This window comes from Homo sapiens, chromosome 6 (genome assembly GCF_000001405.40).
Source record: "Homo sapiens chromosome 6, GRCh38.p14 Primary Assembly".
Taxonomy (NCBI): domain Eukaryota; kingdom Metazoa; phylum Chordata; class Mammalia; order Primates; family Hominidae; genus Homo; species Homo sapiens.
This window is the reverse complement of record NC_000006.12, coordinates 71,420,978-71,448,540: the sequence shown is the minus strand read 5'-3', so window position 1 is coordinate 71,448,540 and position 27,563 is coordinate 71,420,978. Positions and strand designations below refer to the sequence as shown.

At 35.9% G+C, this 27,563-nt stretch overlaps 1 long non-coding RNA gene across 1 annotated transcript in view; it reads right to left on the bottom strand.

Annotated features, from left to right (window-relative positions):
• Positions 1-27,514, bottom strand: part of LINC01626 (long intergenic non-protein coding RNA 1626) — a 37,846-nt gene extending 10,332 nt beyond the window's left edge. The window contains exons 1-4 of the long non-coding RNA NR_121615.1: positions 27,440-27,514; positions 18,472-18,602; positions 16,902-16,970; positions 13,185-13,220 (exon numbers count right to left, since the gene is read on the bottom strand). This is a non-coding gene — a long non-coding RNA (long intergenic non-protein coding RNA 1626). The remainder of the gene's footprint in view (positions 1-13,184; positions 13,221-16,901; positions 16,971-18,471; positions 18,603-27,439) is intronic.
• Positions 27,515-27,563: the final 49 nt, after the last annotated feature.

Here is a 27,563-nt window from a genome sequence, read left to right as displayed (position 1 = left end):
TTAATTGAAGTGGAACATTCATACCCAAAGTACACATAAACATATCATAGCTCAATGAATTTTCATAAAATGAGTGCTCCTGTGTAACCAACACTCAGATCAAAAAGCAAAAGGTTACCAGCACCCCAATAGCCTCCCTGCACACAAGGATAATAATTATCCTGATTCCTAACAGCAGAGATTAGTTTTGCTTATTTTTGTACTTTACGTAAATGGAATCATACAGTATATATTATTTTGTGTGTCTAGCTTTTTTTTTACACTCCACATGTTTGTGAGATTCATCCATATTGTCACAAGTAGAAGTAGATCTTTTGTTTTCATTGCTGTAGGGTATGCTGTGGTGTGAATATACAACAATTTGTTCTCTCATTTTATTGTTAGGGGCATTTGAGTAGTTCCCAGTTTGGGGCTATTATGTGAGTACTGCTGTGAATATTCTAGTACCTGCATTTGGTGTTTGTACATACACATTTCTGTTGGGTATATACCTAAAAGAGGAGTTGCTGAGTCATAGGGTATACAGATGGTCAGCTTTTATTACCATCAGTTTTGAAGCTGCTATAAAATTATGATGAACTACACAAAACTACTACATAAAACAGGGTTTCTTGGGAAATAATGTCTTCACATTTTCAATTTAATACATGCCTATATGTTATTTGCTACATACTAGCCTGTCTTCTCAACATTCTATAAATTTGTATTTATTTTATAATCCTCTTGACTATCTCATGAGGTTGATAGCACACCCGGTGAGTAGCAGAACCAGAATTTGAATCCAAGCAGCCTGGCATTAAAGCCTGAGGTTGACTTTTAATATTATTTTCAGATGGTACTAGTAAATATTTAATAAATACCAGCTATCTTCATTTCACCACCCTTGGGCAGACAAGGTGTTTGCTTGTCATGGGAGTTAGAGCTCTAGTGCCCATGTTATCCTCCTGGACTGTGAAACTCCTGCATGTTTCTCAATGGTGAGATCCCCATATTTTTCTTTCCTTGGATCCTGTACGCTGGCCTTATTTTTTCCCCTTCCACATAAACTATCTGAGTTTTGGAGGAGGATCTCTCTTCTTCCTACCCACGAAGGAACAGAACGATTTCATGGCTTCCCTTGCACTTCCACAGGTTTGGAAAATTTCTGTGCCAGTAGGACTGGGGGAGGACATACACATGCTTCCTTCTCAAGCTAACATTCCCATCCTTGCCCTCCCTGCCCCTTCTCCCCAGACAGATACCCACAGTTGTTTTCCCTTCTTAGGGAAAGATAAGAAGCAGAGCCAGTGTGGTGTTGTGTACCTGTAGTCTCAGCTACACAGGAAGCTGAGGGGGAAGCTTGATCCTAGGAGTCGACCAGCCTGGACAACATAGCAAGATTCTGTCTGAACAAAAAAAGAAAGAAAGAAAGAAGAAAGAAAGAAAGAAAGAAAGAAAGAAAGAAAGAAAGAAAGAAAGAAAGAAAGAAAGAAAGAGGGAGGGAGACAGAGAAAGAAAGAAAGAAGCATTTATGATGCTTTCATTCATATCGCAAATTTGTTTAGTACTTACTATGGCTCAGAAAGCACTAAGCATTGTGATAGATGTAAAATGGAATGAACAAGAACAAATGATCTTAAAAGGCATAATGTCTAAGTGAAGAAATGAGTAAGATTTCACTTAAAAAGTATGGTATATGAAGCATATGCGAAGAAGGAGTGAGATTAAAAACTTTTAACATCTATCAAAGCATAAGCATTGAATGAGACTGCATGTGTGTGCAGCCAACAGCAGAGCTGCAGCAGTTAGTAGCCTCTGAATACCAGCCCAGCATGTGCAAGGGATGATACTAGATGGAGCCTATCAGCAGACCACGAACACTCAAATGCCAAGTGACATGCCTCGGCTTTATGCTCTAGGCCCTGCAGAGCCACAGAGCAGTTCTGAGTATGGTTATGATACAATAGAGCTATGTTTGGGGCTTGTTTCTCAGCCTTTAATCTACTGGCAACCCAAAGCCACAGAATAAAGAGATTGTTCTTTCCTATTCTCTTGTAACTAGTTCTCAACAACCTATGACCCACACGTTGGCATATAATTTTTTCAAACACTAGAGCTTGATCAGATAAAGACCAGATCTGGTTAGCTGTGTTTAGACATTTCAAATATTGTGTAGTTGTCATCCCCCAAGAAGCAGATAGCCAGCTGAGATTTTGACTTGTGTGTGCCAAAGAACAACTGAAACAAAAAGTTCACAAGGGGATGCACAATATGACTGGAATTTCCCTCTGCCAGCTGGCTGCCCGGACACTTGTGCTTCTTTTCATGTTTCCCATTTTGAAGGCTGCTGAGTAAGCCAAAGAAGCAAAAGTTACACTGGGGACTGGGCAAATCCCAATGGAGTCAAACAAATGGAAGAATGTGGAAAGATGTGTCAAAGAGACACATCCTTTCGGTTAATCTTCATTAGCATGTCCTCTTTAGCACTATTCCTTTTCATTGTATTTTTTTTTCTTTTGAGAAAGTGTCTGTTAATTTCTCTCATATGAAATAAGCACTGTTTCATCTACCAAGGATAAGTTGGCTAAAGTTAACAGCTTGTTTACAAAACAGGATTGAAAAATCTCTTGGCTCACTGTTTGCAGGGAGGATGGCATGATGGGTATTGTGTAGGCCCTGATGTTAGACTGCCTGTGTGTGATTTCTGGCTCCACAAGACACTTGCTGTGAGATCTTGGGAAGGTTTCTTATCATCATTTTTCTCATCTGTAAAATGAAGATAATTTTCGCTACCTCATTTGGGGTACTGAGGATTAAATAAGTTACAATTTATGTAGAAAAAAACCTGACATGTAGCAAGCACACAAAAAATGTGAGTTGTGGCCAGGCGCAGGGGCTCACGTCTGTAATCCCAGCACTTTGGGAGGCTAAGGCGGGCGGATCACGAGGTAAAGAGATCGAGACCATCTTGGCCAACATGGTGAAACCCCCATCTTTACTAAAGATACAAAAATTAGCTGGGCATGGTGGCGCATGCCTGTAATCCCAACTACTCAGGAGGCTGAGGCAGGAGAATTGCATGAACCCAAGAGGCGGAGGTAGCAGTCAGCCCAGATCACACCACTGCACTCCAGCCTGGGTGACAGAGCAAGACTCCGTCTCAAAAAAAAAAAAAAAAAAAAAAGTTAGTTGTTTGTTGTTTCTCTTAGTATTATTGTATTCATTCTTTTGAGAAAGTGTCCGCTAATTTATCTCATATGAACTGAGAACTGTTTCTTCTACCAAGGATAAGTTTGCTAAAGTTATCCCCATATTTGTCTAGATCTCTATTTCTCAATAGGAAGGAATAAATACCTTTTGTTAATAAAGTCTATCTACGTGCCACAAACTACTAAAGATACTAAAGATACATGTATCTCTCCCAAGTATAAATTACTCAAAAAAAACTAAAACTTTTAGAAATGTAATAGAGAGTCAAATATTTTTGCATATTTTTTCTCGAAGATGACAGGTCTCCATTAAACTCTCTTTCTATTTTTCTGGACAAGCTAGCCTACACTGCATGAAAACAAGTAATACTTCTCTAATCATAAAAAAGATATCTAAAAGATCATTAAAATACTTGCTCACTTATCAAATAAAAATATGTAATCAATAATATTGATTATTCTTAAAACAATAAATATGAGAGTGTCACCCTTGGCTGAACATGTAACTCTTTCCCCTGACTACTCCTCAAGGAACACTTGCAAAGGTATGCTTTGCAGAGAGAGCAGACATCTCAGAGGGAGCTGCACTGGTCAGAGATGCACTTCACAAATGGTTATAAATACTGGTTATAAAAGGGAATAGTGCTCAGGTGCTAAGAAAAAGGGAAAAGCATCAGCCTAGAAATCATGGGACTTGGATTACAGTGTTGATTTTTGGAGTGGCTTTCTGTTTGATTATAACACAATGCCATTGCTTTTTGTCTCATGTTGATCATCTTTAAGATCGAAATGGTTTAAGTTTTCTTTACAGTGAAGCTAAGATATTAAAAAATATTAAAATAAAATGAAACTGCGAAATGCTTTGAGTACCACAACGCAATCTAAGATTGATACTGAAGAACATATCATACACAACGACAGATGGCACTCTTTCTTAGTTTCAATAAGATCTGCATGACCAGCTGATTGTTGTGTTATTTTGTAAGGAAGTAGGTCAGCAGGAAGCACCAAGCTGGAAAAAAAAAAAAAAAAAACACCAGTATGTGAGTGATGATCAAATCTTTGAATTATTCATTTTCCTCATTGATTGTATAATTGAGTAATATGGATACAAAATTCCAAAGTGCCCTCCAGAATTAACGATATCAGGGCAACAAGCAAGTCTCTCTGGCTTGAAAGGATCCTTTTAAAATATACGAAGGGTCTGGTTTTAAGGAAAAACCCAAATAGCAGTGTCTGTGAAGCTTTTCCCAACTTCTCACCTAAATTTGTTTAAAGTTAAAGAAAAAGATGAAAATACAAGGAAAGGAAACTAAGACTGTCAGCCAAACCTGTGCCAGGATTTGAGAGAAACCTCCAGGAATATCGAACAATTGGGCAGAAAGAGGAAAATGCTAGGAATTTTACTTTTTCATGTACTACAACTTCCCAGCTGGACAGAAAGTCAGGATTTGAGGATTAGGAAGAAAACTTCATCATAAGCAGTAGAACTGTCAATTAGAACATACGGCGTTAATTGGGCTAAGAGCTGGCATATTAGCCTATCAGTACTCCCAGTGGAAAAATCATGGTGCTGAGATGTACTGACATATAACATTTGCATTAAAAATATGGTTATATGAATGTGAATAGAAACAGAAGAATCAAAACCCACAATGAACTGAAAATAGTACAACTGAAAGAAAAGGGAAAAGGAACACAATTCTCAACTCCTATATTAAAAACACACCTGTTAAAGTTGCTTTAACTACTTCAGATGATGTTCATCATCGTTTATAGCATGCAAGAAAGTATTTTCTCTATGAAATAGGGGCAGAAATTTATAAAGAGAATAAAAGAAATGAAAGTGAGGTAAGAGTAAAAGAGACATGAGTGATTTAAAAAAAGACGTACTAGTACATTAAAAATGTACTTGTAAAACTCAGAAATTCCACTCAGACAAGAACCCCTAGAGATACTCTTGTTTAAGTGCACCAGGAGTTATACATGTGTGTTTATAGCAATTTGTAATAGCAAAAAGTCTCATAACAACCCCAGTGTTCATCAATAAAGTAGTAGATAAATGAGCGCATTTTTGAACAGTTAAAATATTCAATAGTTGAATTAAATTCATAAGAAAAGCAATATGTCCCAGAATTTGCACTGTGGAAAATCAAATCGGGAATTTTAAGGACATGCCTGAGTAGTTTCCCCAGAAAGCAGAGTAAAATGAAAAAGATGGAAATATCCTCAGAAAGAAGATGGTAGTCACGGAAGATGAAGAACCAAAGCTCAACCTAAGAGTTACAGATAATCTCAAGAAAAAGAAACATAAGCAATTTGAATAGATGCGATGATGAAAAATGTCCCAGATGGAAAAAGAAAGTGTACATAAATAACACCATTAAAGGACCCGAGAAGTAAGATAAAAAATGTTCATTATATTAAGGGCAGAAATCAATGGGAAAGAAATAAAATACAACTACCTTGAGTTATGTTCTGTTAAAAAATAAAGTTAATTTTTTAAAATTTTTTATTTCCATAGGTTATTGGGGGAATAGGTGGTATTTCATTACGTAAGTTCTTGAGTGGTGACTTGTGAAATTGTGGCGGGCCCATCACACTAGCAGTATACACTGTACCCAATGTGTAGTCTTTTATCCCTCACTCCCTTCCCACACTTTCCCCCTGAGTCTCCAAACTCCATTGTGTCCTTCTTATACTTTTGCATCCTTATAGCTTAGCTCCCACTTATGAGTGAGAACATATAGTGTTTGGTTTTCCATTCCTGAGTTACTTCACTTGGAATAACACTCACCAGACCGGTCACGGTGGTGCACACCTATAATCCCAGCACTTTGGGAGGCCAAGGCAAGTGGATTGCCTGAGGTCAGGAGTTTGAGACCAGCCTGGCCAACATGGTGAAACCCCATCTCTGCTAAAAATACAAAAAAAATTAGGCAGGCCTGTTGGCATACAGCTGTAATCCCAGCTGCTCGGGAGGCTGAGGCAGGAGAATTGCTTGAACCAGGGAGGTGGAGGTTGTAGTGAGCTGAGATTGCACCACTTCACTCCAGCCTGGGTGACAGAGCAAGACTCCATCTCAAAAAAAAAAATAAATAATAAATAATAAAAAAATATATATATATAATATACTCTCCAATCTCAATCAGGTTGCTGTGAATGCCATTAATTCATTCCTTTTTATGGATGAGTTAGTATTCCATCATATATTTATAACCACAGTTTATTCACTCACGGATTGATGGGCATTTGGGTTGGTTCCACAGTTTTGCAATCGTGAATTGTGCTGCTATAAACATGAATGTGCAAGTACCTTCTCTGTATAATCACTTCTTTTCCTCTGGGTAGATACACAGTAATGGGATTGCTGGATTAAATGGGGTAGTTCTACTTTTAGTTCTTTAAGGAATTTCCTCACTGTTTTACATAATGGTTGTACTAGTTTACATTCCTATCAGCAGTGTAGAAGTACTCCCTGTTCACCGCATCCACGCCAACATCTATTATTTTTTGATTTTTTTATTATGGCCATTCTTGCAGGAGTAAGGTGCTATTATTGCATTGTGGTTTTGATTTGCATTTCCCTGATCATTAGTGATGTTGAGCATTTTTTCATATGTTTCTTGGCCATTTGAATATCTTCTTTTGAGAATTGTCTATTCATGTCCTTAGCCCACTTTTTGATGATATTGTTTTTTTCTTGGTGATTTGTTTGAGTTTGTTGTAGATTCTGGATATTAATCCTTTATCAGATATATAGATTGTGAAGATTTTCTCCCACTCTGTGGGTTGTCTGTTTACTCTGCTGACTGTTCCTTTTGCTGTGCAAAAGCTCTTTAGTTTAATTCAGTCCCAGCTATTTATTTTTGTTTTTGTTGCATTTGCTTTTGGATTGTTGGTCATGAAATGCTTGCCTAAGCCAATGTCTAGAAGGGTTTTTCTGATGTTATCTTCTAGAAATTGTAGACTTTCAGGTCCTAGATTTAAATCCTTAATCCATCTTGAATTGATTTTTATATAAGGTGAGAGATGAGGATCCAGTTTCATTCTCCTACATGTGGCTTACCAATTATCCCAGCACCATTTGTTGAATAGGGTGTCCTTTCCCCACTTCATGTTTTTGTTTGCTTTGTCAAAGATCAGCTGGCTGTAAGTATTTGAGTTTATTTCTGGATTCTCTGTTCTGTTCCAATGGTCTATGTGCCTATTTTTATACCAGTACCATGCAGTTTGGGTGACTATGGCCTTATAGTGTAGTTTGAAATCAGGTAGTGTGATGCCTCCAGATTTGTTCTTTTTGTTTAGTCTTTCTTCAGCTATGCAGGCTCTTTTTTGGTTCCATATGAATTTTAAAATTGTTTTTTCTAGTTCTGTGAAGAATGATGGTGATATTTTGATGGGAATTCCATGAAATGTGTAGATTGCTTTTGGCAGTGAGAGGTGAAGCCAGCTGGACTCCCTGGGCTGAGTGGGGACTTGGAGAACTTTTCTGTCTTACAAGAGGATTGTAAAATGCACCAATCAGCACTCTGTGGCTAGCTAGAGGTTTGTAAAACGGACCAATCAGCACTCTGTAAAATGGACCAATCAGCACTCTGTAAAATGGACCAATCAACACTCTGTAAAATGGACCAATCAGCAGGACATGGGCAGGGACAAATAAGGGAATCAAAGCTGGCCAACCCAGCCAACAGCAGCACCCTGCTCAGGTCCCCTTCCACCTGTGAAAGCTTTGTTCTTTCACTCTCTGCAATAAATCTTGCTGCTGCTCACCCTTTGGGTCTGTGCCAGCTTTAAGAGCTGTAACACTCACTGCGAAGGTCTGCAGCTTCATTCTTGACATCAGCGAGACCACAAATCCACTGGAAGGAACCAACTCCGGACACAGCAGTATGGTCATTTTCACAATATTGATTCTATCCATTCATGAGCATGGGATGCATTTCCATTTGTGTCATTTATGTTTTCTTTCAGCAGTGTTTTATAGTTTTCCTTGTAGAGGTCTTTCACCTCCTTGGTTAGGTATATTCGTAAGTATTATATATTTTTTTGCAGCTATTGTAAAAGGGGTTGAGTTCTTGATTTGATTCTCTGCTTGGTTGCTGTTGGTGTATAGGAGAGCTATTCATTTGTGTACCTTAATCTTGTATCCAGAAACTTTGCTGAATTCTTTTATCAGTTCTAGGAGCTTTCTGAAGGAGTCTTTAGGGTTTTCAAGGTAAACAATCATATCATCAGCAAACAGTGACAGTCTGACTTCCTCTTTAGCAATTTGGATGTCCTTTATTTCTTTCTCTTGTCTAATTGCTTTGGCTAGAACTTCTAGTACTATGTTGAAAAGAAGTGATAAGCGTGGACATCCTTGTCTCATTTCAGTTCTCAGAGGGAATGCTTTCAACTTTTCCCCATTCAGTATAATGTTGGCTGTGAGTTTGTCACAGATGGCTTTTATTACATTGATGTATGTCCCTTGTATGCTGATTTTGCTGAGAGTTTTAATCATAAAGCGATGCTGGATTTTGTCAAATGCTTTTTCTGAGTCTGTTGAGATGATCATATGATTTTTGTTTTTAATTCTGTTTATGTGGTGTATCACATTTATTGACATGTGTATGTTAAACCATCCCTGCATCCCTGGTGTGAAACCTACTTGATCATGATGGATTATCTTTTTGATATGTTGTTGGATTCAGTTAGCTAGTATTTTTTGTTAAGGATTTTTGCACCTAGGTTCATCAGGGATATTGGCCTGTAGTTTTCTTTTTTTGATTATGTCCCTTCGTGGTTTTTGCATTAGGGTGATACTGGCTTCATAGAATGAATTAAGGAGGATTCCCTCTTTCTCTATCTTGTGGAATAGTGTCAATAGGATTGGTACCAATTCTTCTTTGAATGTCTGGTAGAATTCTTCTGTGAATTCATCTGGTCCTGGACTTTTTTTTGTGGGTAATTTTTTTTATTACCATTTCAACCTCACTACTTGTTATTGGTCTGTTCAGGATATCTAATTCTTCCTGATTTAAGCTAGGAGGGTTGTATCATTCCAGGAATTTATCCATCTCCTCTTGGTTTTCTAGTTTATGCACATAAAGGTGTTTATAGTAACCTTGAATGATCTTTTGTATTTCTGAAGTGTCAGTTGCAGTATCTCCTGTTTTGTTTCTAGTTGGGCTTATTTGGATTTTCTGTCTTCTTTTCTTGGTTAACCTTGCTAATGGTCTATCAATTTTATTTATCTTTTCCAAGAACCAGCTTTTTGTTTCACTTATCTTTTATATTATTTTTTCATTTCAATTTCATTTAGTTCTGCTCTGATCTTGGTTATTTCCTTTCTTCTGCTGGATTTGGATTTGGTTTGTTCTTGTTTCCCTAGTTCCTTGAGGTATGACCTTAGATTGTCTGTCTGTGCTCTTTCAGACTTTCCTGTGTAGGCATTTAGGGCTATGAACTTTCCTCTTAGCACTGTCTTTGCTGTATCCCAGAGGTTTTGATAGGTTGTGTCACTATGGTCATTCAGTTTGAAGAATTTTTTAATTTTTAACTTGATTTCATTGTTGACCCAATGATCATTCAGAAGCAGGTTATTTAATTTCCATATATTTGCATAGTTTTGAAGATTCCTTTTGGAGTTGATTTCCAGTTTTATTCCACTGTGGTCTGAGAATGTACTTGATATAATTTCAATTTTCTTAAAATTTTTGCGGCTTATTTGTGTCCTATCATATGATCTCTCTTGGAGAAAGTTCTATGTGCTGATGAATAGAATGTATATTCTGTGGTTTTTGGATAGAATGTTCTGTAAATATCCATTAAGTCCATTTGTTCCAGGGTATAATTTAAATCCATTATTTCTTTGTTGATTTTCTGTCTTGGTGACCTGTCGAATGCTGTTAGTGAAGTATTGAAGTCCCCCAGTATTATTGTGTTGCTGCCTATCTCATTTCTTAGTAATTGTTTTATAAGTTTGGGAGCTCCAGTATTAGGTGCATAGTATATTTAGGATTTTTATATTTTCCTGTTAGACAAGGCCCTTTATCATTATATAATGTCCCTCTTTGTCTTTTTAACTGCTGTTGCTTTAAAGTTTGTTTCATCTGATATAAGAATAGCTACTCCTGCTTGCTTTTGTGTCCATTTGCATGGAATGTCTTTTTTCACCCCTTTACCTTAAGTTTATGTGAGTCCTTATGTGTTAGGTGAGTCTCTTGAAGACAGCAGATAGATGGTTGGTGAATTATTATCCATTTTGCAATTCCCTATTTTTTAAGTGGAGCCTATAGGCCATTTACATTCAACGTTAGTATTGAGATGTCAGGTACCATTCCATTCATTGTGTTATTTCTTGCCTGTATGCCTTGGTTTTTTGTTTTTATTTTTTATTGTATTTTTTCATAGGTCCTGCAAGAGTTATGCTTTAAAGAGGTTCTGTTTTGATGTGTTTCCAGGATTTGTTTCAAGATTTAGGGCTCCTTTTAGCAGTTCTTGTAGTCCTGGCTTGGTAGTGGTGAATTCTCTCAGCATTTGTTTGCCTGAAAAAGACTATATCTTTCCTTCATTTATGAAGCTTAGTTTCACTGGATACAAAATTCTTGGCTAATAGTTGTTTTGTTTAAGGAGGCTAAAGAAAGGGCCCCAATCCCTTCTAGCTTGTAAGGTTTCTGCTGAGAAATCTGCTGTTAATCTGATAGGCTTTCCTTTATAGGTTACTTGGTGCTTTTGCCTCACAGCTCTTAAGATTCTTTCCTTCATCTTAACTTGAGAGAACATGATGACAATGTGCCTAGGTGATTATCTTTTTGAGATGAATTTCCCAGGTGTTGTTTGAGCTTCTTGTATTTGGATGTCTAGGTCTCTAGCAAGCCCAGGGAAGTTTTCCTCCATTATTCCCCCAAAAATATTTTCCAAACTTTTAAATTTCTCTTCTTCCTCAGGAATGCTGATTATTCTTAGGTTTGGTCATTTGACATAATCCCAGACTTCTTGGAGGTTTTGTTCATATTTTCTTATTCTTTTTTTCTTTGTCTTTGTTGGATTGGGTTATTTTGAAAACCTTGTCTTCGAGCTCTGAAGTTCTTTCTTCTGCTTGTTCGATTCTGCTGCAGAGACTTTCCAGAGCATTTTGCATTTCTCTAAGTGCGTCCATTGTTTCCCAAAGTTTTGATTGTTTTTGATTTTTGATTTATGCTATCTATTTCATTGAAAATTTCTCTCCTTATCCTATGTCATTTTAAAAATTTCCTTAAATTGGGCTTTGCCGTTCTCTGGTGTCTCCTTGATTAGCTTAATAACTGACTTCCTGAATTCTTTTACAGGTAAATCAGGGATTTCTTCTTGGCTTGGATCCATTGCTGGTGAGCTAGTGTGATTTTGCAGGGGTGTTCAGGAACCTTGTTGTGTTATACTACCAGAGTTGGTTTCTGGTTCCTTCTCATTTGGGTAGGCTGTGTCAGAGGGAAGGTCTAGGGCTCAAGGCTGTTATTCAGATTCTTTTGTCCCACGGGGTGTTCCCTTGATGTAGTACTCTCCCCCTTTTCCTATGGATGTGGTTTCCTGAGAGCTGAGCTGTAGTGATTGTTACCTCTCTTCTGGATCTAGCCACCCAGCAAGTTTACCTGGCTCTGGGCTGGTACCAGGGGTTTTCTGCACAGAGTCCTGTGATGTGAACCGCTTGTGAGTCTCTCAGCAACGGATACCAGCACAGTATTTGAGGTGTCTTCTGGGATCTTCAGGAGCAATCTGCTTCCTTCTGAGGGTCTGTGAGTTCTCTTCGGCTTTCTTGATTTATTCCTACAGTCGTTCTGCAGCAAGAGTTCACGATGAGAGACTCCACATGCTGCTCTGTCCGTCCGAGTGGGAGCTGCAATCTAGTCCTGCCTCCCATCTGCCATGATCCTCCTTCTTCTCTTGAAGTTAATTATTTAAAAAACTTATTTTAAGCATCCAAGAAAGAAAAAATTAATAATTTCTGATAAAATTGAAACACATGCTATTTATAAGACTTTATTCTCCACAAACAAAATTATAGAAAACAACACAGCAACATGTCTTAGGGAAAAAATTGTGAGGGTAAAAGTCTGAAGAATTGTGTTCTCAGAGAATTTGACCCTCAGGTATGAAGGAAAGAGAGTTATATCCCTGGGTTTCCAAGAGCTTGGAAAACAAACTAGCCAAGTATGGTTTTTGACAATATTAAAGTTGTACTGTGAAGCAAGCAATGAATCCTAATGAAGACTTCAAGCAGAGGAAGTAATCAAAACCAGTAAACAGAAAGGTAAATCTCAATAACTATTGCTAATATGGTTATGAAACAGAAGGGAGACATGGAAAGTAAAAAATAATTTAATGACATTATCTGGGTCTAAAATTGTAGATTAAGAGAAACACATAAGTGAAGAAAGACAAAGCAGAGAAGGAAACAGCTAACTTCCTCATTTTGTCTGAAAGGAGACAAAATCTCTTTTCTTTTATAATCCTAATCATTAGAAAATATAAATTAAAGCACAATTTTGAAAAACCCAAAGGTAATCTTTAATACAACTAAATACTAGAAAGTATAAAAGCTTATAAGCCATATGCAATATAACTAAGAAAGCATGAGAAAAATCACAAGCCCAGAGAAAAGAAATATGAGTAAATATATTAGTTATAGTAACAATTGTGAATAATTAAAAATACTTCAAATCCAGGTTAAAAACATTGAACTACATGATAGTTAGAAAGCCACTCTAAGACAAAATGATATGCACAAGTTAAAAATAAAAGAATGAGCAAATATACGTCAGACATTCACAAAAGAAAACAGGAAATACTAATTTCAGAAAAGACACAAAGGCAAAAGATATTAATGATAACCAAGAGGGTCATTATATATTAATACAAATATGCTTCACAAGGAAAATATAATAGTTATTCAACTTTATAAGCTGATTAGTATAATATCAACATACATAAATCAAGGATGTTAGAAATGTTAGAAATGTGAAAGGAAAGTACCTTCTTATGGGTGACAGTGACACATCTCTCTTGGCGCTGGATAAACAGATATTTGGTTAAAATTTATAATTTGTAAAGATGAATCTACAGATATACTGACATCTATTCCAAGAACTAAAAAATACATGTATCTTATTTTCAAGATGAATATAATAACTTTTTATAACAACTTAACAACTACTGCCACAAAGAAAATGTTCAAAAGTTTCCAAATCAGAAATTGTAGGGAGCTGTATTCTCAGACCATAATGCAATCAAACTATATATTTTTTAAAGTTTAAGCAATCAAAAATCCCAACACGTTGGAAGTTACCAAATGCCTTCCTAAATAGCTATATGGGAGAGAAAAACCCAAGGTAAAATTACAAACTTGTTTTAAAATAATGAAAATAGGACCATTATTTATCAAACCTTATGGAATATGTTCAAAGGCAAATACTGTATGTGGCCTAAAATGGTTTTTGTTCTAACTAAAAGAGAATTTTAAAAAAATTCAACTCAACTGCAATTCAAGAAGTTAAGACAGAACAATGAAAGAATCTAAACAAGAGGAAGAAAATATCAAAAATAAATATATAAATCAATGCATGAGAAAATAGAAAAATAGTAAAGTTGACGAATAAACTACAGTACTAAATTCCTAAAGAACAAGAACAGGCCAGGTGCTGTGGTTCACACCGTAATCCTGACACTTTGGGAGGCTGAGGTGGGCAGATCACTTGAGGCCGGGAGTTTGAGACCAACATGATGAAACCTTGTCTCTACTAAAAATACAAAATATTAGCACTCCAGCCTGGGCACAGAGTGAGACTCTGTCCCAAAAACAAAAACAACAACAACAACAAAAAGGACACGAACAAACCGTAGTACAAAAGTCCTAGCAGATTTAATCAAGAGAAAAAAGTAAACAAATAAAATTAGAAATAAGAATTTACAGTCTTAAAAGGATTTAATAACACATTTAAAGATTATTTTAAAATGTTACTTAAAAAGTATTAGCACAAATTCATCAGTTTAACAAATTTGAAAATCTTAGTAATAAAGATTCAAAGATAATGGGGTAGAAAGTTGTCTACCAAACCTAAATAGACAACTATATACTGAAGAATTGAAACTGAAAAAGTTTTCAATAACTAAATTCAAGACAGCTGCAGAGCAGAGGTTTTTTTTAAATCAATAAGCGCTTTTCAGTTTTCAAGAAACAAATCCATCACTACGAGGTACACTCTTCTTGTACATAGAAAAACAATAGGAAACATTCCAACTCACTTCACAAAGCTAGGATCACCCTCACAGTAAAACCTAAAAATAATTAGTACAGATGCAAAAGTATGAATAAAAGATTTACATATTTAACTCAGGCATATTAAAATAATAATTTAGCCTAAATATTTAAGGATTGCTCTAAAGAATTCATGCATATAAACCCTAATGAATATATCACACCAGTAGGTTGCAAAGTAAATATATAAACATCTCAATTGATCTGCAAAATAATTTGATAAAATTTAATAAACTCTTGGATTTTAAAACTTGCTGAATAAGCTCAGAATAAAATGTTATTTCATGTACATCATAAAGAATATGTGTTTATCATTAACATACAGTTAACATCATATGGCTTAACAATGCTACTCTAAAAGTATCATAAACAAGTCAAGAATATCTACTATTACTACCATCATTTCCATCATTCTAGAAGTGGTAGCCAAAACAAACAAAAAAATGGAAACACATGTGTGGTCTAGTGTACTTATTGAGGGAATAGGCCTAAGTACAAACCTTTTCCCTTCATAATAACATCTATAGACAATTCTTAGTAGAATGGAATAGGATTTTCTCAGTCAAATCTCCCTGCTGGACAGGGTCCATAGCTATACCAAGTATCCCTCAAACATGGTAATTGGATAGTAAATAATTTTCTAGTTAAAACAAAAACAAAAGCAAAACCTAGGGAAATAGATATGAGGAAATCATTGAAGAAAGTTTTGGATTTAATAGCATAGTTCAGTTAAGTGATCCAGGGTGAAAAAAATACAAAATCAATCCTATTGCTAATAATAATAGACAGTCAAAATATGATGAAGATATCCCACTCACAACAATAAGCACAATATCACGATACACAATTACAAGTATAATCTTTAAAGGAATTGTGTGTGACCAATACAATGAAAACTGTAAGAGCTTGTAAAAGGAATAAAAATACTTTCACGAAAAAAAAATCTGTGGCTAAATGGGAAGAAAATAAGATTAATGTAATCCATGAAAATCCCAATATAAATTCTTAGAATGTGACTGTGATAGAGAGTATATTTTCAAAGCAATTCTAAAGTTTATCAGAGGAATAAATGAGAGAGAGAGAAAAAAAAGATTGAAAGCTAAATAGGGGAAGCCTGTCCCAGTGGAATGGGAAAATAGATATAACGATGGTAGAGAATGGATAGACCACAAGCCAATTCTAGTAGATTAAAAAACAAAACAATGCCAGGAAGGGTGGCACACTCCCATAGTCCCAGCTACTCAGAGGGCTGACACAGTAGGACCCCTGAGCCCGGGGAGATGGAGGCTGCACTGAACTGTGATTGTGCTGCTTCACTTCAGCTTGGGTGACAGAGTGAGAACCTGTCACTAAAAAAAAAGTTTTTAAAAAATTTTTTCTAATTTAAAAAAAAAAGAATGACAATAAAAGATTCTATATGAGATAAAGTTGGCATCACAAATGAGTAAAGCCATAAAAGACAATCATTGGTGGTGTGAGATAATTATTTAACAAATTGAAATAAATAATTCCTCCCTTTATGCTATAAAAACAAAACAAACTGTAGAATGATGAAATATTTTAATGTTACAAACTGAGGCCGGGCACAGTGTCTCATGTCTATAATCCCAGCACGTTGAGAGGCCAAGGTGGGAGGATGGCTTGAGCCCGGAGTTCCAGACCATCCTGGGCTACATAGTGGGAACCTATCTCTACAAAAAATACAGAACATTAGCCAGGTTTGGTGGCATGTGCCTGTAGTCCTAGCTACTCCAGAGGCTGAGGTGGGAGGATCCCTTGAACCCAGGAGAGATCAAGGCTGCAGTGAGCCATGATCATGCCACTGCACTCCAGCCTGGGCTGCAGAGTAAGACCATGTATGAAGCAAGCACACACACACAAGAAAAAAAGAAAAAAACCTGAAAGCACACACACACACACACACACACACACTCCTGGAAAAAAAAGGTGGATACTTATCAGGTCTCAGGATGGGAAAGTGCTTTCTAATTATAAAGGCATTAAAATAAATGTCCCCCGAAATAGCATACATTTTACTATGGAGAATACAACTTGAATTTTCCCTACAACAAGAAAGAGTATGGAAAACTGAAATGAAATCTCTGTCATGAGGAAAAAGTAAATATTGTTTTAAAAGCACACCACTGAGGAAAATAATTGACACAGATTTATGACAAAAAGTTTAATATAGCTAATATATAAAGAGCTCATGTAAATCTTAAAACCTAAATAGAAAAGTTGGCAAAGAATATGAATAGATATGTCATAGAAGAAAAAAGAGAGGAAGGGAGGGATGGAAGGAGAGAAGGAGGGAGAAACATAGGAAGGGAGGAAAGAGGGAAAGGTAAGGAAGAAAAGAAAACTAAACAAGAGGAGAAAGATTAAATTACTCGATTTCAAATACTCTTGTTTTAAAGACTATATTTTTTACTTACCAAATCAGCGAAACTTAATTCCAACACCCAGTATTGTTGAATGTGAGGTTAGAAATCAGAACGACTTTTCTAGAAAGCAAGTTTAGCAATCTATATTAAGAATTAATGTCTTTCAATTCAGTAGCTCTACTTTTAGACAGTTATCAAAAGGAAACAGTTACAGAATATTTGATAGCAGGGACATTTATTGCTTCATGACAACTGCATTTAGTTGAATTTAGTGTTAGTCATCTGAGATGTCACATAATACCAAAGTCAATTGTGAGGTGTGTCACAAGAAATTTGTTACTACTCATAGTAAAGGTACCAAACTTTGAACATTATTTAATAAATTAGGGTAGAGTCAAGGTTATCTCTGTAATGTTACTCTTACTCATATTATAATGCATTTTATGAGTATGAAGGAAAGGGACAGAGCAATGGCAAATCCCCAAGGAGGAAAATTTGCATAAACCATAGCCTTTATTATCAATGTGTGCATCAGAACTCATTGGCTTGTGAACATCATATGTCTCTAGGTGTTATAGAGGAGAAAAAAAACAGAATCACTTATAGAACTGAGTTTGGTGCAGCCATTTAAAACACATACTGCAGCCATTATTAAAAAAAAAAAAGCTGGGTGCGGTGGTGGGCACCTGTAATCCCAGCTACTCAGGAGGCTGAGGCGGGAGAATCGCTTCAACTTGGGAGGCACAGGTTGCAGTGAGCCGAGATCGCACCACTGCACTCCAGCCTGGGCGACAGAGCAAGACTCCGTCTCAAAAAACAAACAAAAATTAAAACCTTGATTTGGAAGAAGTTTGATGGAATGTGTAAATGATCACAATATGGTAGAGCCAGAAGGTAGAATCAAGCATATAGTGAGCCCTGTTTTATAGAAGGATTAGAAGGAAGTTGACCTGTGTTGTCAGTGGTGGTGTCTGGAGATTTTTAAAAATATTTTCCTGAATTTTCCATGTTTTAAGTAGTGAACAGATATCACTTTTATGACTAGAAGGAAATTATTATTAGCAAAATAACTATACAAATATAAAGAAGTATAGAACATTTACAAAGTAACCTGTAATCCTCTTTCCCTCCTGTTCCCTGTACCAACTAAAACATATGAGTATTTACAGAAGGAGATTTATGCCTTTCTGATTAACCTCACAGAATCAAATCTACCATATACTAAAAAGAAAGCCTCTGACAGCAAAAAATAACTTAGTCCCCAGCATGTCTTCATCTAACCTGCCAAAGACAATTCTGTGGCTCTTTAAGCACGTTTAATTAAAAACTAAAACGAAATACAACCATGTAATGCCTTTTCATCCCTCATGAAAACTTACTCTGTTTTTTGAGGGAAAGAGTAATAAAGGAGTAATATGAGACAAATGGGTGTACATTAGTTAGTAGTCTTCATTCTTATTTACAAGCAATCATGTTAATGCCCTTTCTAGGGAGGAAAAAAGAAAAAGATGCAATGACCTTCATTGAAATTCATGCACTAACCAACACAAAGCATATTTTAAAATGCCCTGAAAAAATGCTTCAGGGTTATGGGGTTAACACAATACAAACTGCTGCCTACCTTTCTGTTGTTTTCCTACCCCGGAATCTTCCTAAGAGACCACAAGTTTCACACTGGGATGATGGGGAGAAGGACATCACCCTGTGTATTTGCATCATTTCCCAGAACTGCCTTTCTAATAGCTCGAGATTCTGAAGGGCACATAAAACATTGTAATAAGTACATTTTGTGTTTTCATTTATTTCTTGGGAGAATAGCAGCCACTATTAATATATGTTCTTGACAGATCATTGGATTCACATTCCCAACAGTTTCAAATAACTAGCTAAAATATTCTTTTGAGGAATTTTTTCTTAAAAAAAAAAAAGCCAGTCTTAGCTAACTTGAAGAAGCACATTTATTTTCCGAGTCTTACTGTTCCATTTTTGTTTTCTCAAACACTGTGAACCACTTTTAATTTTTAAATATTATCTTATTTACAAAGCATATGCTAGAAATAGTTCTACTTTCAGGAGAGGGAAATAAAATTTCCATTTTCCATTGCTTAAAAGAAAGCATATAAATAAGGGTTGTTTTCTTTTTTTTTTTTTTAAGTTTTGAAGTTGCTGGTACTATTTCATTTCTCCATAAAAGCAATAAGCATCTAAAGCAAGGTTTCTCCACCTGTGTCCTATTAATATTTTAGAGTGGATAATTCTTTGCACTGGAGGGCTGTCCAGTGCATTGTAGGATGTACAGCAGCATCTCTGGTCTCTACCCACCAGATGCCAGTAGCACCCTCCTTCCCTCAGGGGAAGGTCACAACCATAAATGTCCTCCAGACATTAGCGAGTGTTCCCTGGGGGCAAAATCTTCCTGGTTGAGAACTTTGTTCTAAATTACACCACTCAGCGAGTGCCATATGTATATCACTTATCTTCTTTACTTACTCTAAAGTCCTCAAAAGTGAAAATTCGGCCAGGTGCAGTCGCTCATGCCTGTAATCCCAGCACTTTGGGAGGCCGAGGTGGGCGGATCATCTGAGGTCAGCAGTTCAAGATCAGCCTGGCCAAGACGGTGAAACCCCATCTCTATGAAAAATATAAAAATTAGCTGGGCACGATGGCAGGTGCCTGTAATCCCAGCTACTTGAGAAGCTGAGACCAGAGAATCACTTGAACCCAGGAGATGGTGGTTGCAGTGAGCCGAGATCACGCCACTGCACTACAGCCTGCACAGCTGAGCAAGACTCCGTCTCAGAAAAAAAAAAAAAGAAAGAAAAGTGAAAATTCCTGTCTTTCAAAAGTTGGGACTACTTGTTATTATATTATTTACTAGTCCTTCAATATTTTAAGGATAAGATTTTACATATCCTTCAAAGAAAAATAAACAGTTGACCAAAAAACTATTAGATGTTAGAGGTGTTACACTAAAATTTCATTTTGTCTTTTTACATTAATTCCTTGTTCTCACTTTGTCATGAAAATAATTTAAATTATTTTATCACAATGAATATTCAAACTTTTCATTCAAAAGTCCAAATAGAGAGATTTTCAATATAAAATAGATAATATAAGCCATTTCTTTTTTATTTATATACTATATAATACCTAAGGTAGCAATGGAGAAGTGAGGATTTATTAATTATATACCTTTTAAAGGGATTTTAACAGGATATTAATTATAACGAATTTATTGGAAACAATTAAAAAATACAGAAAAGTGCATAGATTAACACCTAGGTCTTGATCTTTCAAGATTTTATTCTACTTATATAAATATATAGGATATATCCTTAACAAATCACAATTTATCGCACTGCCCTATATGAATTAAACATAATGTTTGTGGGATGATACATTAAGGGCAAAATTTACAATGACAGATATACTTAACTTTATCAAACAACTAGCTTTTACAGCAGTGAGCACACGATGTTGGCTTCTTTATACGTCATTCTACTTTTCAGCAGTAATCTCAACATATTGAATTTGTCTTTCTGTTTCTCTCACAGGCTTAAATATAATTAAGTTTTTTTTTTTTTTTTTGCTCCTTGTTTTTATTCTATGCTATGTCATCTAGATACAGGTCCAAAGACCTGATAATTTTTCTGAGAAGGAATTTTTTTTCTTTTTTCCAGGGGAAGTAAGGGAGAGGCTTATGTTTTCATATTCACCTTTTATTTTCGTTTACTCTACTTGATTCCATTGAAACAAACCCAAACAAAGAAATAAGCATCCACACCTCCCCACTACAAAAACCACAGACAAGACCATTTACGTGTTTAGAAGACTTTATTGGAAATTTGCACTTGCACCTTGGAAATCCTCTCTCTATGTCTCTTCTATCCTCACATTCAGGGAATCTTTATGAATTATTTCATTCTTTATAGTTGCCAGCCTCACATCATCTTCTTGGTTCTCTACCTCATCTCTTCCCTCAGGAGCCAGGAAAATTTCTCTCTGTTTTCTAAACAGAACTCTTTAACCATTGTTTGATTATCTTCCTCCCCTGGAGGGGAATAGAGACCCCAGAGCAAGTTGGGAAAGCAAGTTCTTGACTATTGTAAGATTTACAGCTGAAAGGACCCTGGTAATCAACTAGTCTAACTCTTCAATCCAAAAAAGAAATTGAGGAAACCACCAGACAATTCTAATTTTGTATTTACTGATCACACTTTAAAGTTCAGATCAAAGTAGTGGAATGAGCATTGGGAGTAATTAGACCTGGGGATCTGGGGCCATGGACTCACCGTATCTAACTGGGTTATTTATCTCTTGATCTCTGAATCTCCTTTTCATTATCTATAAAATGGGAATAGAACCCATGCTAATAAGAACATTGGCGACCCACATAAGGGTCTGCAAAGCATATTCACACAAATGAGCTGTTTCCATCCTCAGAACATGCAGAGAGAGAGAGAGAGATTCAACACCTATAATTGTTATCCTTATTTAAAGACCCAGGGGAATTAATGGCTTGGTTGAGTCCCACTGATGTAGCAGAATTCAAATGTGTCTTTGAACTGAAATACTATACTGAGATGCCTCCTCATCATCTTGAGGAAAAGTTATGAGGATCTAACGATGTTACATATGCGAAGGTGCTCTCCTAGTGAAAAAACATGGATGAAAAATACATGTTTATTATTGCTGTGTTTATTTTCAGACAACCTTGGGAAGATGCCATCTACATGAGGACGGTTTGGTTTGAGTTCAGGTAGTTTCCACGATATCATCTCCAAATTAGGACTAAGCATTACACTCTGACAGTAGATTTTCAGTTCTGTCATGCTTCTTTACTTATTCTGGACTTGCCTTTTAGATTCATTTTGTTTATTATCAACTGTCAGTGATCGAAACATTTATTCAGCCTGGTCTCCTACACACAGACACACACACACACCCCCTCACACCCACACACCTTTTCTTCCTCCATGGCTTCTGGTAATGATATTCTTCATTGTCTATGAATTCTCACAATGTAGTATGCCAGTCCTGTGGGTTGATTTCCCTCTTATCCAAGATGAAACATTCTAATAGACCCCCGTGGAGCATTTCACAGTGGGCTCACTATTCTCCTTCACTTGCACAGAAAATTAACAATGAATTATATCTGAAAATTTGGAGCCCCCAAAGCTCAAAAATGTTCATTCTTCCAAGCCGGCTGTGTTCCAGATTTCTAATTACTTTTGTAACTTTCCATGGAATCTTCTCCATAATTTTCATTCATTTCTCAAACTATGAAGCTCACAATTGCACACATTTTCTATTGAGTTTTCCTGTGTGCTGAGTCAAACAGTTTCAAATGATACAATCACTTCATCAAAAAACAAACAGGCATTTAACAAGCACTGTCCCATGCCCAATCTGCCCTATAATCTCTGGGATCCAGAGGAGGCACAGTTGTTCTCGAGCACAGAAATAAGATAATCTACTGTATTATGAATTGCTTGTGAAGAGCACAAAATAATTTCACTATATATCCATTATGTTTGCTTTTTTAAAACCATCATATACATTCTTACTTGGGTCCTAAATTCCATTTTATTCTACACTAAATACAACTGTGGTTTCCCAATATATATGGATACCCTACATTTATTTTTAAATACATTCCTGCTAAGACTTTTTTCTGTAATATTGACAATTTTCATCAAAACCGTCTTCACAGTTGGTTAAAAAAAAATCAAATAAGACCACAACCCTCCTCACATGTAATTACAACAACCCCTCCTCCAAAGGAAAACCCTTTTAACCATTTCTGCTTTTAGTTTCTGCCTGTAGAAAACTAAACCGTAAACTTTTTGTTTGAACAAAACATGAACTTTAAATAATGAAATAACTAGTATATTTCTATATTTGTTATTTATTATTTACTTATCTACCTGACCCTCAGCTATATAAAATGACCTATGTAAAATGAGGTCTTACATTAGTCCTTCTTTCAACACTTCTCCAATTTTGATACTTACATTATCATTTTCAGTTTTGTTGGTTGTAATGTAGAAGTAGCCACTTAAATTTCTGTTTCTTGTCCAATAAATGTTATCTAATAAAGTTGGATAAAACCATGTTTTGTCCAATACAGTTATTTGGCACCCCTCTATGTGGCGTGATGCCCCTACCCAGCTTTCTTCTTTGGCCCCCTTCTTTCCTCTCCCACCTTTGTCAGCTAGCTGTACCTTTACTTTTACTTGATCAAGGTTGTATAGTTTTAATTATATGCACTAATGTGTATTTGTTTTTATATTTAAGTCAAGTTGAGTTGAGTTTTCTATCCCTTATGACTGAAACCCTCCTAACTCCACTGAGGGTCTCCTACATGCTGACCTTCTGGCTTGGAAGAGGGATGCTACCATCTACTTTGTGTAAACCATTCTATTTTAAAAGGATATTTTTAACCTACAACTTCTAGTTAATTCAAATATATCTTATGAAACAAAAAAGTTGGATAAGATGAAGTTCTGCAACAGTGCTAAGACAATATGTCACTCAGGAGATGACTTTTAAAAATAACTTTAACTTTGAAAAGTAAATGTTGGGCCAAGCACGGTGGCCCACACCTGTAGTCCCAGCTCATTGGGAGACCAAGGTGGGAGGATTATTTGAGGCCAGGAGTTCGAGACCACCCTGGACAACATAGCAAGGCTCCCATCTCTACAAATTAAATTAAAATAAGCAGGACATGGTGGAGTGCATCTGTAGTCCCAGCTACTAGGGAGACTGAGGCAGGAGAATCGCTTGAGCCCAGGAGTTTGAGGTTGCCGTGAGCTATGATCATGCCACTGCTCTATAGCCTGGGCAACACAATGAGAACCTGACTCAAACAACAACAACAACAACAACAACAACAAAAAGGAAATAAAAGAAAAAAATAAATAAATGTAATAAAATTTCCCAGTCAAGTACATCTATTTTTCTTCTTGCTTCTCTGGAAAAGGTTTAGAGATATTATACCTGGTGAATTAGAATCCTATTTCTCTGTGAAGGAAATATCAGCAGTATCCTTCATATTGCTCTCTCTACACGTTCTGGTTGTGTTTAACTCTTCATACTCAAGAGTTTATGTGAGGCTCAGAATGTTAGTTATATATATTTCATCTCATTTCAGAAAGTATTTTACAGAGCTTCAATAAAATGCATACATACAAATATATAAGCTAATAATGCATATATGAATAGTAATAAACCATGGCAAGGTAAAGCTTATGTTTATTAAAAATTAGAGTGAATCTAGTATTTGATAGCACAACAGAGTGACTAAAGTTAACAAAAATTTATTGTACATTTTAAAAGAACTTAAAGAGTATAATTGGATTGTAACACAAAAGAAAGGATTAATGCTTGAGGTGGTAGATACTCCATTTACTCTGATGGAATTATTACACATATATGCCTGCATCAAAATATCTCACGTACCTCACAAATACATACACTTACTATGTACTTACAAAAATTTAAAATTTAAAAAAAGAAAAAAGTTACAGTGAAGCAGGCCGTACCTTGCTAAATTAAGCTGTAAATTTAGTTCCAAGCTTCCTGGTTGTTGAAATAAGAAGGAGAAGCTGCAAAAATCTCATTTCAGAAAAAATAAAATTTTTCCTAACACTTAACTCTAAAAGAAATTTTCCTGAGGGACTGTGACCCAAGATAAAATGGAGAAGGGAGTCTAATGTGCCTCTCACCAATGTTTTCTGAAATTTTCTCTCTGTTACTCCATATGCATATAAAAGTTTCCTGCCATAGATACATCACACAATAAGGAAACTACATGGTTGGGTTCAAGAAATCAACAAAACATAAGTTTTGTAAAAGGAGAGTTAAAGGGATCTGATGTTGTGATTCACAAAGGCATTTTTCTCTCATCCATGTAAGAAATAGAAAGAAAAACAGAGCTAATCGTTTTTCTCTTCTCTCTATATAGATATTATTTAATTATTCCTAAGAACATCATTTTCAGATTAATGAATTAGACTCGGTTATTTGTTGAGAAGTCACGTGGAACTCTGATTTGTCCAAGACAAGACATTCCGAAGCATTTCAACTATCAGAATCAAGAAGATATAAATCCAGTTATTCGTTATATTCACTGATGAAGCAATCTTAAGATGATAGCAAATTAAATGTAAAGATACAGAGAAAATAATATTATAGTCATATTACCACAGATCATGTGAGGCAACTTATAAAAGATGTATATGTATTTTTTTAATTACCTTTACCAATGTCTATGTCTATGTATTTTTTTAAAACCATCTTTATAAATCCTAAAACCGACCCCAAAGTCAATTTCTCTCATAAACATTTAAAAATGTGCTAAAACTGACAGCTCTCTAAAATAGCTTCAGCTCTTTTGTTCCATTTTGGACAACTGATGAGAAAATCGCTGATGAAAAACTGAAAATATCAGTTAGTGAATGAAACATCACCACAGTGAAATCACAAATATTACCCAGACAATCACTGAAATATTCATTTCCATGTAATAAATGGGTATGGACTTGTCGATTATCAGGAAATTACCACACACTGGTTTTGACTTAACTATACTTAGTAAATCATGCATATTCATATTGATAAATTCTTCCACAATTTTCACTCAGAAAATGAAATACATACAGTTAATTAACTGAAAATTACAACTGCTGGTTCAACTAAATTCAGCAAATTTTACATTCTAGTGTTACCATATGTACATTTGTTTGAAGTAGTAATTAAACTTCTGTACTAGACTCCATATTCTGGGAAAAAGTAAACATATTATGACACATGGAATCTAAAAATACACATTTATTTTCCTCTTTGACAAGTACAAAAGTGATAAGTGAATCTTCAATAAATGCCCCCAAAATTTAAAATTCAGTAATTGATTTATGGGTATAACTTTGACCCAGCCATTTACAACTTCCATCTAAAACTATATTAGCAGACATGGGATACGTTAACTTATTTTAAGCATATACATTGAAACTTGCTTAAGTTTTTAAACATTATGAACAGAGTATTAAACTGGACATTATGATACATCTTGTTTTTGAGGAATATACTAAGAGGAATACACTAAGAGTGAATAAAATTTCTCGAACGTTTTCCATCCAGAATTCTTTCCTCAGTATTCTTCTCTTCTAACATCCTCTTCATTAAAAAAGAGAAAGAAACCCTGAAAGTACTGCTTTGATCTAGAATGAACAGGCAGGAGTTTCATTCAGATCTATTTTGAGAGAAAACTGATGGGCTCAAAAATATACTTCAGTTGAAAAAATGTGCAGTCGAGGAAATATTAATGTTCTGATAATAAACAGAGAATAATAACACATTTAAGACTGTTCTGCACTTGGCACAGTATTTTACAGAAAGCAAAGTGCTTGACAAACACTATCTTGGAGGGATCTTACAGCACCCCAAGGAGGCAGGTAGAGCCAGGCGTATTGTTCTCTTGTAACAGAGTTAGTCATTAAGAGATTGGCTCAAGGTCAATCCAGAACCTGGATCTGTTGATAAAACTTTATTTCAGGGGTCATGTTATCCCCCGAACTTAATGTGGTAAGTCATGGTGAGTTTCAATCACGAAAGCAAGGAGGTAATATAGCCATATTTTTCTTGTTTGAGATCTCTCTCTTCTTTCCGTTCATTGTACAGATCACCCTTTAAAAAATGTATTTGGTCATCAAAATAATTTATAAAGAAGGAACATGCCACATGTGTACAAAAATTTTTAAATGCACAGTTTATTACCCGAAGAAATAAACTGACGTAACTATTTGAAGTACAAATAAGTGTAATTTTATTTTAAAAGATGCAAATATGTGTTGCCAAATACTGTTTTCGTCATGGTGTAGTCCACTTTCAGTAAACAACTCAATGAAGTTTATAAACTTCATATGAACAGTAACAAATGAGTCATCCTATTCAAATCAAATAAACAAATAACTAGTGTGCCTATTATTTGTAAGGTCCTGTGATCAAAAGGTACAGTCGTTTATAGCCAGTGCTTTACTCAAGTCCTTTCTTGATAGATAGATGGGTGGCAGATGGATAGAGATATCCTACATATCTATCATCTATCTCTACATTCTTCTTTTCCGGTATTTCATCCAACTTCCACTAAAGATAGTTTGTGTGACTTTATTATAGAAATAAAGTTCACAATAAAGATGATTTACATACAGAACTCTTATATTTTCATTCATGGAAAAAACCACAACATGGTGGTGCCAGTGACAGTCTGTGTTTTGGGGCAGGATAGAAACTAACCTGCTTCAGTTACCTGACATTCTAGCAAACTTATTAGGAACACAAACGCTCGGGTCTCTGAATGCACCAACCTGAGCGCCGGCTGATTAGGCATTGTAAAGCAGTGTTCTAAAAGGAAAGGCCTTCACTTAAACAGTGCTACAACGTGTTTGTTCAGCTTTCTTTCATACACAAACTTTTGCCAGAAAAGGCGTTTTAAGCCGAGGGTAAAGATTTTGTGCGTCCACCGTTCCCATCTTCAACTCTTTAGAATAATAGTCATTTAAGCACCGGACCTGTCTTCAGATTCTTACTTTGCGACACAGCTTTGGCCGGACTTGGCTTGATCTGGGCTCCAGGATCGGTCCCACCACCCGGGCTCGGAGCGGTTTGTTCCTAGTGGATCAGGGCGGGTGTGTTGCCGGAGTCGCCTTCTAT